Consider the following 12,466-nt stretch of genomic DNA (forward strand, 5'->3'; position numbering starts at 1 on the left):
AATAGCTGGGACTACAGGCATGCATCACCACGTCCCAGCTAATTAAAAAAAAGTTCTGTGTAGAGATGTTGCCCAGGCTGGTCTCAAACTCCTGGCCTTAAGCAATCCTCCTACCTCAGCTTTCCAAAGTGTTGGGATTATAAGCATGAGCCACAGCACCCAGCCAGAAACACATTTTTAAATTACATAATGACTATCAGTTGGAAAAGGTACAGCAACACCATCCCAGCTTTTAAAAAATACACATTCCTGAGCCCCTCTGGACTTAGTGAACGAGAACCACCACCTCCACTGGATGAGAATACCACTCACGGGAAAGAGGTTGTTGAGCTGGTATTTGCAGAAGGAGAACTTTGATTGAGATGGGTCAGAGAGAGGAGGGGAAGAATATTTCAAAAAGGGAATGACATATTTGAAGCCACTGAGGTATTAAAAACCAGTCACGCTAGAAGAACTCCAAGTGATTCAGTTTTACTGAAATGAATAATTTCTAGGAAAATGGGTAGAAAAGATTTAGAGAGGTGTGTAAAGGGGTCAATCTCCAAAAAGCCCAGTATGATAATGCTAAAGAAGTTTAACTTTTTCATAAAAATTGTGCAGCACTATTAGAGAGGAGAGTGGAAAACACACTTGCATTATACAAAGATTACTCCAGATACCATGAAAATGGACTGAAGTGGGAACAGAAGGGAAACAAGGAGATGGGTTTGGAGGCTACTGTAATGACGAGGAAAAGCGTAGTAGGGCCTGAACCAAGCCAATGTGAACAGAGAAGAAAACAGATTTGAAATACATTACGGAGGCTGAGCACGGTGCCTCACACCTGTAATCCCAACACATCAGGAGGTCGAGGCAGGTGGACTACATGAGTCCAGGAGTTTGAGACCAGCCTGGGCAACATGACGAAACCCCATCTCTACAAAAAATCTAAAAAACTAGCTCAGCATGGTGGCATGCACCTGTAGTCCCAGCTACTCAGGAGGCTGAGGTGGGAGGATCACCTGAGCCTGGGAGGCGGAGGTTGCAGTGAGCCGAGACGGTGCCACTGCACTCCAGCCTGAGTGACAGAGCCAGACCCTGTCTTGAAAAAAAAAAAAAAAGAAAAAAGAAAAAGAAATAGGAATACATCATGGAAATGGAAATTAGTATTAGTGACGTGGGAAATGAATGAGGGAAGAATCTGTTTCTGGCTTCAGAAAATGTGTAAATAACGGCACCACTTATAAACATGGGGAAAAGGAGAAAAGGCAGGTGTGGGGCTAAGGCCAGTGAAGTGTGTCAGGGAGGAACACTCACTCAGTGTATACTGAGTCTGAGGTGGCTACAGGACACCCAGACAGAGATGATGACTTGGATACACAGACCTGTAGACAGAAAAGTCCACGACTGCAGATGAGATTTGGGGTTATAAGCAGAGATGGAAACTAGGCCCACAGCAGATGAGATCATTCATCCAAGTGTTACAGTGAGAAGGAGAGAGAAACAGACTCCTGAAGAAATAAAGGCAAAGTGAGGAGGAGACACCCTGAAAATAGGGGAGGGGCCAAAGAGGAAAATCAGAAAAATTACGGGGTTAGGAAAAAAGGCACGGTCGGCTGGGCACAGTGGCTCACACTTGTAATCCTAGTACTTTGAGAGGCCGAGGTGGGCCAATCACTTGAGATCAGGAGTTCGAGACCAGCCCAGCCAACATGGTGAAACCCTGTTTCTACTAAAATTACAAAAATTAGCCAGGCGTCATGGCTCGTGCCTGTAATCCCAGCTACTCGGGAGGCTGAAGCAGGAGAATAATGTCAAAAGTCACAGAGAAGGAAACCAGTGGAAAGTCTCTCATTGCATTTGACAACTACAGCTACAGTGCTTTTAGAATAAGTTTCAGTGGGGAGGCTGGAGAAGAAGCATGGGCTGAAGTGTGCATGGTGGGGAGGGTGGAGAGACAAATGGCACATTGATTCTTTTAAGCCTGTGTACAGGTAAGAAATGTCCATCCATGTAGGTAAGAAAGGAAGTGGGGGCTGGGGTAGGATATAAGGGTTGAGACAAAAGAGAGCGAACCATATTTATACAAAAGAGAAGAAGTTATGAGATAGAAAGAGGCTGAAAACACACAAAAAGCAGTGATGATGAAGAGCAGGGCCCATGAGGAGGATGGGGACGAAGGATTCGGCTAGGACAGAGGGAGGGGAGGCTTCTCTCCTGGGACTTTAGGGAAGGATAGGGGCAAAAGAAAGTGAGTTTCCAGGTGATAGAACATGAAGCTAAGGTGGTGTTTCCTGATTTTTACAATTTTTATCTGTAGAATTGAAAGCAGGACGATATCCTGAGCATGGTGAGGAGCTCTGAGAGATAATTTACTCGGTGCAGAGCTGGAACACGGTGGCAGTGGGGCAGACGAGGGCATGAGGACAGCAAGGCAACCCCAAGCCCACCTAACACTGGAGTCCACCCAAGGCACACGCTCATTTGCCCAAAGTGCAGAGAGGATGAATGACTGATTTTTCCTAAGTTGGAGCTTCACAAAATGGTGGAATTAAAAAATCCAGAGTTATTTTTTAAATATAAAAACAACAAGAAAGTTATTAATAGTTAGGTTAGAGGACAAAGTAATATGCTTCACTACATTTTTTAATCGAAATTTCAATTCAATACATTTCCAACTTCACAATACATGAAAAAGTCAACTAAAGATCCTGCTGAAGTCAAAGAGCAGGTACAGTGGGAGTAAGCAAGTGAAAGCTGGAATGACAGAAAGTAGCCCTCAAGGCAGCAGAGTTTCAGATTTCAGAGGTGAAGATGACTAAAGGTCAATGTCAGCGGAGCTGAACAGGTCTAGGAACTCTAGCGCAATGAGCCGTAGTTCTTTCCCAGAGACATGAAGTCACCCAGGATGAGGAAGGTGGGAAGGAGAGGGTAAGGAGAAAGACAGTGAATGACTGAAGTCAGGAGAGGAGAGGTGCCAAGGCGGTGTGGGGATGTGCTGGCCAGCACAAGCCTTGGAAGAGATCATTTCCATTTGCAGGCTGAAGCATATTGGCTCAGACTAGAAAATCCTGTGGCTACGTGAGAAGCAAGAATGAGCAGTCTCTTTCTGAGAGATCAGGAGAACATGGCTTACTAGGGAGGCATGTGTGGGGAGGGAGGGGGCAAAGAAGAAGAAGAGTAAGGAGAACATGCACTGGGGGCTGCTCCCAGCAGAGCACAGCTCCAGAGGACAACCACTGCATGGTCCGCAGGAGGGAAGCTTGGTTCTCTCAAGGCTAAGTGCTTTTCAATGAGAAGGCATACAGGAAGAGCCTGGTCCCAATGATGATGGAGGGAGGCCTGATAACGCATATTTTAAAGAGTCTCCCTGCAGCCTTCAACTGCAGGTATACAACATAAGTCTAAAAGCTGAGGAGAAAAATCATAAGTTTTATTGATGTATATACTTGAGGATAACTTAAGTTGCAAATGTTTTTACTTTAAAATAAAACATCTCAATTCCAGTTAAAATAAAATTATCAGCTGGGCATGGTGGCTCATGACTGTAATCCCAGCACTTTGGGAGACTGAAGCAGGCGGATCACTTGAGGTAAGGAGTTCAAGACCAGCCTGGCCAACATGGTGCAACTCCATCTCTACTAAAAATACAAAAATAAGCCGGGCATGGTGGTGCACACCTGTAATCCCAGCTACTTGGGAGGCTGAGGCAGGAGAATCGCTTGAATCCAGGAGGCAGGGGTTTGCAGTAAGCCAAGATCACGCCACTGCACTCCAGCCTGGGTAACAGAGTGAGACACCATCTCAAAAAAAAAAAAAAAAAAATCCCATTTAGATCAATTCGATAAAACTAATTAGGGGACTCAAATGTAGTGTAGTGCATCCAATAATTGCAATTACAACAAATATATAAAAATTAAAGGCAACACCAGGTTAGGGAAGGAGGATCCAAGCAAGGAGACTGTGGCCCCAGAAAGGCAGTGCAAGTGACCCTGTGATGGGAATGCTCCACTGGTTTGCATCTAGACTGTGGTGGTGATTCCAGGAATCTACACGTGATAAAACTGCACAGAACTTACACGCACACACAAATGAGTGCATGTAAAACTGGTGAAACCTGGATGGACTGTATTGTTTCAGGTTCCCAGGTGTGATATTGGACTGTAGTTATGCAAGATGTTACCACTGGGGGAAACTAGGTGAGGGGTATACTCGATCTTTCTGTATTATTTCTCAACTGCATCCAAATCTACAATTTTCAAAATCAAAAGTTTTTAAAAAATTAAAGGCATCAAAGCAAGGTGTACAACTGGAAAATACTGTCTTCAAAACTCATGGTAACATTAGAGAATTATTCTCTGTAGCTCAGTGATTCTCAATCAGAGATTTGGAGGCAGGGGAAGGGCACCTAAGTATCAGAATTACTGCCCACACCCGCTATTCCCTGAACGCACACCCACACTGGAACTGCCACCGTGATGAGCCACCTGTTTCAGAGGAAGTGGGTCAAATCTTCAAGTGTGCTGCAACTGAAGAAAATGGAAAACCACTCTTCTAGCTACTTGTCTTTAAGAACACTTCTAACTGGTAGTAAAGAAAAAAGCATTAAGAGAAACATAGTATTTAATAGTAATTTATAACAAACATGAAAGATTTTCAGAGACTGCTTCTCATTTGATTTGCCCAAAATCAGCCAATACACCCTTCTTGGAAATGTATTTGGTCAACATAAGAAAAACATTCTATTCATGTAAGAATAAAAATAAGGATTTTTTTCCAGTAACTGATGGATTTTTCAGTGGTACATCCAGACCCTAAATATCTTATCTATAACCAATGACTACAATGTATATAAAGGTATACAGTCTGTGTCCTTGAACAGTGAAATGGTTCAACCTACACAGGAGATCTTAGCAGGCAGCACCATACCCTAGTCAACAGGCGAACAATCAGTAACAAGCAAAAACCAGAATGTGATCAATCTGATACTGTTTTTCAAGTCCCTACCAACAGGGAGCCCTAAAGAGAAAACCTATGTTTAGCCCACTAAAGTCAAACATAGGGAAATATGCTGAAGCACGAAGGAGGCCCAATTTAATATCTGAATAAGCTGCATGAATCAGAACAAAAAATAAAATCACCGCATGATGATGAATACACCAAAGAACTCTAGTATTATAATTGTTCACACAATTGTGTGCGTCTGTGTGTGTATACATCATAATCTAAATGTCCAACAACAGGGAACTTATGCAAAAGAGTGGTATATCCAAAGCCACTGTCAAAGCAATTAAAAATTGTTTATAATAAAAAAAAGTTTACAATGTACTGCTAAGAAAAGAGCTACAAATGAGTATGTGGCAAGATTCTAATTTTCCGTTTAAAGTACATGTTTATTTTTAAAAACTCCAAAGAATATAAACCCAAGTTATTATTTATTTTTAAATAAGTTTGTTCCTTATACTCTTCTCTGTTTTCTAAGTTTTCTACAGCGAGTACATACTACTCTTATAACTTGGGGAAGGAAAAAAACCAAACTACACCAATAACTATTTTAAGCAAAACTTACAAAGGGGATGGAATGATATGAAAAGGAAATACATATGGATATTATATAGACATCTATAATTACAATTATTTTAAAGAAAGGAAAACTGTGCATAAGAAAAACAGGTTGTGGGAAATACACCAAAATAATGGTGCCTATGTTTGAAGGATGAAATAATTATGGGTAATTATTTTTCCTTCCACTATTCTACACCTTTAAATTCTTAAAGAACGTGTCTTACGTAAATAGGAAAAAAATTACTGTATTTATCAACACTGACCCCAAGCCCTCCTTTTCACTACATCCTGCCTCCTAAAACAAACCAAAAAATACACATGCACACAAACCCACAAGTACTTACATGGGCTTACATCTCTGTATCTGTTTCGATTTCTGTTTTCTGGAAACTTGGCCACTCTATGAGGATAGTCATGGGACTCATTTCGAATTTCCTTAAAATAACAAAAATATATTTTAATATCCCTCTTAAATTCTCCACAGCAAAACTTATCTTCCCAGCCAGCGTAAAATAACATGAAGCACTTATGATATGCCAAGTACTATGGAAAGCACATTGTTTACATCAATTAATCATTTAATCCTCACAATACTAATGGAAACGATTTTCTTCCCCATTATATCTGTGAGGGATGAAAGGCTTTCAAAGGTTAAAAATCCACCAAAGATCCCATAGCTAGTAAGTGGCAGTCCCAGCATTGAACCAAGGTCCTTCAGATGCCAAAGTCTGTGCTCTAGATCTGTTTACTTACTGCTAATTAGGCTCTATTCAACACCTACAAGCAAGCATCAAACACTTTATGAAGCAGAATTAATGCAATGGAGGTATCTATGGTCAGCCACATCATATTCAAATTCTGACTAAAACTCACAGCATCTACCTAAATTTTGGAGTTTCTACCTGAAAATATTTATTTCTTCATGTTCACGCTATTTAACTGTTACTTTATTTTGAACCCAGAAATATCCTCAAATTTTATTTCTATCATGTTTGTCATTACTTCTCCTTAAAAAAAAAATTATTTCTAGAGCCATAAATGTTCAGCAACAAGCCTGGCGCAGTGGCTAACGCCTGTAATCCCAACACTTTGGGAGGCCGAGGCAGGCGGATTCCCTGAGGTCAGGAGTTTGAGACGAGCCTGGCCAACATTGTGAAAACCCAGCTCTATTAAAAATACAAAAATTTGGCCAGGTGTGGTGGCTCACACCTGTAATACCAGCGCTTTGGGAGGCCGAGGCGGGGAATCACCTGAGGTCAGGAGTTTGAGACCAACCTGGCCAACAAAGCGAAACCCCGTCTCTACTAAATATACAAAAAATCAGCTAGGCGTGGTGATGGGTGCCTGTAATCCCAGCTACTCGGGAGGCTGAGGCAGAAGAATTGCTTGAACCCGGGAGGTGGAGGTTACAGTGAGCCAAGATCGTGCCATTGCACTCCAGTCTGGGCGACAGAGTGAGACTCTATAAAAAAAAACCCCAAAAAAATACAAAAATTAGGCTGTGCGCGGTGGCTCATGCCTGTAATCCCAGCACTTTGGGAGGCCGAGGTGGGTGGATCACGAGGTCAGGAGTTCAAGACCAGCCTGGCCAGGATGGTGAAACCTCGTCTCTACTGAAACTACAAAAATTAGCCAGGCGCGATGGCAGGCACCTGTAATCCCAGCTACTCGGGAGGCTGAGGCAGGAGAATCGCTTGAAACCGGGTGGCTGAGGTTGCAGTGAGCCGAGGTCGTACCACTGTACTCTAGCCTGGGTGACAGAGTGAGGCGGAAAAAGCAAAACAAAACAAAAATTAGCCAAGCCTGGTGACGAGCGCCTGTAATCCCAGCTACTCAGGAGGCTGAGGCATGAGAATCGCTTAAACCCAGGAGGCGGAGGCTGCAGTGAGCTGAGATTGCGCCACTGCAACAACCAGCAGGCCTGAGGCTCATCCTAGGCGCCTTCGGGTTCTCTGCATTTCAACATAGAAGACATTCTGTAAGGCTATGTCCGCACTAAGCTCTCACTACTGATGTATCCAGAATGGCCAGGTTTGATCTCCCAGGAAACAGTGTTCTAAGAATTCAAGTAAATACAGAAATGTAACAGAAACCAAAAAAAAAGCATTTTAATAGGAAAAATTAAATTATGCTTTTGCTCACATTATTACATGTAAGAAAAAGCATTTTAAAAGTTAGGTGCCATTTTGTTTATTTGTTTTTATAGACATAGGGTCTCACTTTTTGCCCAGGCTGTTCTCGAACACCTGGGCTCAAGTCATCTACCTGCCTCAGCCTCCCAAAGTGCTAGGATTACAGGTTTGAGCCAACACCATCAGCCGAGTATCTGAAGTTTTTATTTATGAAACATGATGCACAAATTTCTAATATGAAACTTCTCCATTTTTCTGGAAGTGAATGGACTGGTAAGTACTTTTGCAAGATATAAGACACTGTTATTAGCCTGCACGTGGAAGAGAAATTTAATTTTATCCCTTCCAAATGGAAAGTTAATTGACTTAATACCATTTATTGGTTTCTGCATTTATCAGTAACACCTGCTCTATCATAAACCAAGTTTCAGCACACGCAGGAGTCTGTTTCTAGATCCTCATTCTACTTCACAGAAGCATTTGCTTGCCCTTGAGACAGTATCAAATTTTAGTTACTACAGCTTTGTAATCAATGCATCTGGAAGGCAAGTTGTCCCCTATTTATTCTCCCCATTTGCATTGCCGTTCATGATATTTTAATTAATTTTGTAGTTTTCTTCATAAAGGTATGCTAAAGGTTAGCATAAATGTATAATAAAGGTTTATTCTTAGATACCTGATAAGTTTTGTCGCTACTGTAAATGGGATTAAAACAACAACAACAACAAAAACCTATTGACCATTACTAGTGTATAGGAAAGATATAGATTTGCAGGGAGGGGAGGCTTAAAACAACAGGCAGAGCAGGACTCCCTCCACTTCTTCCACTTCTGTGATACACACACACCCATTTTCCACACTTAAGGCCATCTGTCAGGTGCAGATTTCTATTTTTAGCCCAGAGAAACACACTTCTTTGTGTGCACTATACAAAAGAGGGTAAGGCCCCCAGTATAGTAGTAGGGAGATTTAAAATTTACAAAACACAATACAACAGCCAAGTTCTTGGGGTTAAGAAATACATTCATAACATAAATACATTTTCTCAGCTAATAAGATCTCTTGCATTGAGTCCATTCTTTCAAATCTCCAATATTGTTCTACTTTATAAAAAAAATTTCAGTGAACTTACAAGAACCAATATTTCAAAAAGCAGCTCCCAAAGGTGCATATTAGCGTTTATTCCAATATCCTCTTTCTCTTTCTTTTTTTTTTTTTGTTTTTTGAGGCAGAGTCTTACTCTGTTGCCCAGGCTGGAGTGCAGTGGTGCAATCTCAGCTCACTGCAACCTCCACCTCCCGGGTTCAAGAGATTCTCCTGTCTCAGCCTCTTGAGTAGCTGGGATTACAGGCATGCGCCACCATGCCTGGCTAATTTTTGTATTTCTAGTAGGGACGGAGTTTCACTATGTTGGCCAGGCTGGTCTTGAATTCCTGACCTTAAGTGATCCGCCCGCCTCAGCCTCCCAAAGTGCTGGAATTACAGGCGTGAGCCACTGCACCCAGCCCCAATATCCTTTCTTTCTTACTAAAGGTAACTGCTTTTGTTTTCAGACCACAATGAGCCCAGCTGAAAACTATTTGTCCCAGCCTCTAAGGTCCTGTGACAGTCTGGCCAATGGGAATAAGCAGAAACCACTGGGTTGGGGCTGCAGGAAAACGCTGACAAAGAGGACTGGCTCCAGGTACCTTTGTCCTCACTGCTGCCTGCCTGGAACATAGGTTTTGCTGCCGGGGGTGAGGGGTGGGAACAGGCAGGAGCCATCCTGTGACAGCAAGGTAAAATGCACATTCCTAAGAAAGGTAAGCAGAAATACCAGCATTGAGTCATGGGTGACATCAAGAAGCCACAGTAACAGCCCTTAAGTCTCTCTCCAGAATTCATATCACATGAGAAACATAAACTCCTGGTTGTTAAATCAGCTATTGATTAATTTTCTTTCCCATGTAGCTAAATCAGGTCTGTAATATACGCAGCAAAACCAAATCTCAACAGCAACTAGATCTGACACTGATGAGGCATTTTCAGGAATACCCAAGACACAAAAATAAACAATTTTATAAGCACATTGCATAAGCAATAAAATATACAGTATCTGTCTAAATGGCATTAGGAAAGCAGACAGCTGAGCTATTCACTAGGTCTATCACATAAGGCAAAGCCAGCTCTACTTGTGTTCTGGAGCTAAAACCTTCCCCTTCTATCACAGATTCCGAATGTTTCCTCTGGGCACAGTGGCTCACACCTGCAATCCTGGTGCTTTGGGAGGCCCAGCTGGAAGGATCACTTGAGGGTAGGAGTTTGAGACCAGCCTGGGCAACACAGTAAGACACCAGCTCTGCCAAAAAATTTTTTTAATTAGCTGGGGATGGTGGTGTGCATGTGTAGTTCCAGCTTCTTGGGAGGCAGAGACAGGAGGATTGCTTGAACTCAGGAGTTCAAGACTGCAGTGAGCTAGCATCCTGCTACTGCACTCTAGCCTGGGCAACAGAGTAAGGCCCTGTTAAAAAAAAAAAAGTTTCCCATCAGCAGTGAAACCTGTTAATCCAAGGTTTCTCAGCCTCAGCACTACTGACATTTTAGGCTAGCTAATTTTTTTTGGGGGGGGGGGGGCAAGTGGGGACTGTCTTGTGTATTGCAGGATGTTTAGCAGCAGCATCCCTGGCCTCTACCCATTAGATGTCAGTGGCACCCCTCCCTGCATCTGTAACAACCAAAACTCTCTCCAGGCATTGCCAAATGTCCTTCCACAGCAAAATCCATCATGAACATATCCCCCACCAACACAGTAGAGAACCACCGTTCTCATTTAATACCAAACTAGATCTAAATGGCAAGGATCTTTGCTTTAAAGTATAATTTAACCAAAAATTTTAAATCTAATTATTTTTAATATGATTTTTGCTCAAAAAAAGCAAGGAATAATTGAGTCACTAGTTAATTTCTTTCTTAGTGGCAATGATCCAAAATGTAGGCAACTCATAGCACAAAGATATCTTTCACAGTTACTTATAATGTTGAAAGGCTTTAAATAAACTAAATGTCTAATGACAAAGAAAAGACTGGTTGAATAAATCGTGGTACATCCAAGTGAATATCATGCAGCTCTTTTAAAAACAGGCCCTCATACCAAATTGGCAGTAGCATAAACTCACAATCTCTTGGAAAGATAATATATGACATAAACAAAGGAAAAACAAATCAGTAAATGGAACTGAGCTATTATTAATACACGCTATTTGGTAAAAAAAAAAAAAAAAAATTCCACTTAGCTCCTTAGCTGTATTTGAAACTTAAACACACATGTGCATTGCCTACATTAAGACCACACACCACCTTTTTCCAAAGTAGTCTAATTTTTGGAACATTATGAAATGGTCCATTCTGATCAATGGCCTTATAGCTTATCTCCATGCCCAAAGATTTTAAATTGTAAACATACCTACTTTCCTTTTTTTTTTTTGAGACAGAGTCTTGCTCTGTTGCCAGGCTAGGGTGCAGTGGTGCAATCTCGGCTCACTGCAACCTCAGCCTCCAGGGTTAAATCGATTCTCCTGCCTCAGCCTCCCGAGTAGCTGGGACCACAAATGCCCGCCACCACGCCCGGCTAATTTTTTTTTGTATTTTTAGTAGAGACGGGGTTTCACCGTGTTAGCCAGGATGGTCTCGATCTCCTGACCTCGTGATCTGCCCGCCTCAGCCTCCCAAAGTGCTGGGATTACAGGCATAAGCCACCGCGCCTGGCCTGAACATACCTACTTTCAATGTGTTTACTTTCTCCTATTATTTCACCTCCTAATATTTTCACATAATAACATTTAATCCCTCTTGAAATTTGCTTTGAGATATATATGCATGGCTTAAAATAAGGAACTAAATTGATTCTACTATAGAAATAATTTTGCTGGGTTCAAATAATGCTGGGTTGAAATGTAAGAGTAAGATTTTTTATATTCATCTAGCTACTCTTCATTTCATAAGCAGTAACTGTGCCTAAATGGTACTGTTTAAATACAGGGACTCTCAAAAGTCTCAGGACTTCTGCTTAAGAAATTCCAAAAGTATACTTCACATAAAGTCATCATTATACTTTGTTTTTCATTGCAACAAGCCTTTCAAGAGAATCACAGAATTCAGAAGGATATCTTTAAGCAGACATTCATAGAATCCTCAAACTAACTTGGTGTTATAGGATGGTCTTGAAAGAAACTGAGGCCAGGCGCTGTGAGTCATGCCTGCAATCCCAATACTTTGGGAGGCTGAGGTGGGAGAATCACTTGAGACCAGTCTGGGCAACACAGACAGACCCCCATCTCTATTAAAAAATTTTAAAATTAGCAAGGCATGGTGGTACACATCTGTGGTCCCAGCTACTTGGGAGGCAGAAGTGGGAGGATCACTTGAGCTCAGGAGGTCAAAGCTGCAGTAAGCCGTGATCACGCCACTGCATGCCAGCCTGGACAACAGAGCAAGACTCTGTCTTTATTAAAAAAAAAAAAAAAAGAGAGAGGCGGGGCACAGTGGCTCATGCCTGTAATCCTAGCACTTTGGAAGGCTGAGGTGGGTGGATCGCCTGAGGTCAAGAGTTTGAGACCAGCCTGGTCAACACGGTGAAACCCTGCTGAGGTGGGCAGATTGCCTGAGCTCAGGAGTTTGAGACCAGCCTGGGCAACATGGTGAAACCCTGTCTCTACTAAAATAAAAAGAGTGAGCTGGGCAAAAAGAGTGAGCTGGGCGTCATGGCATGTGTCTGTAGTCCCAGCTACTCGGAAGGCTGAGGAACGAGAATT

General features: G+C 42.1%; 1 protein-coding gene across 10 annotated transcripts in view, besides 2 other annotated features; it reads right to left on the reverse strand.

Moving 5' to 3' along the window:
• Positions 1–12,466, reverse strand: part of PTPN2 (protein tyrosine phosphatase non-receptor type 2) — a 98,760-nt gene that overhangs the window by 67,798 nt on the left and 18,496 nt on the right. For 6 of the 10 annotated variants that reach the window (XM_024451228.2, NM_080423.3, NM_080422.3 and 3 more), the window contains exon 2: positions 5,889–5,979. In XM_024451228.2, the coding sequence (XP_024306996.1) occupies positions 5,889–5,979 (91 nt within the window). Of the gene's footprint in view, positions 1–5,888; positions 5,980–9,364; positions 9,470–9,921; positions 12,180–12,466 lie in introns of those variants that run through there. The other 4 variants (XM_024451229.2, XM_047437695.1, XM_047437696.1 and 1 more) reach the window with 4 other exon arrangements.
• Positions 4,128–4,257: an enhancer, noted in NCBI's record as "active region_13110". NCBI's record gives its function as "activates an Ori minimal core promoter by ATAC-STARR-seq in GM12878 lymphoblastoid cells {active_cell/tissue: GM12878}" and the evidence as "EXISTENCE:reporter gene assay evidence [ECO:0000049][PMID:35858748]".
• Positions 7,101–7,764: an enhancer, noted in NCBI's record as "H3K27ac-H3K4me1 hESC enhancer chr18:12860375-12861038 (GRCh37/hg19 assembly coordinates)". NCBI's record gives its function as "activates a minimal SCP1, AML or CMV promoter by ChIP-STARR-seq in primed H9 embryonic stem cells {active_cell/tissue: H9 hESC(primed)}" and the evidence as "EXISTENCE:reporter gene assay evidence [ECO:0000049][PMID:30033119]".

The sequence above is a fragment of the Homo sapiens genome, chromosome 18 (genome assembly GCF_000001405.40).
Source record: "Homo sapiens chromosome 18, GRCh38.p14 Primary Assembly".
Lineage (NCBI taxonomy): Eukaryota > Metazoa > Chordata > Mammalia > Primates > Hominidae > Homo > Homo sapiens.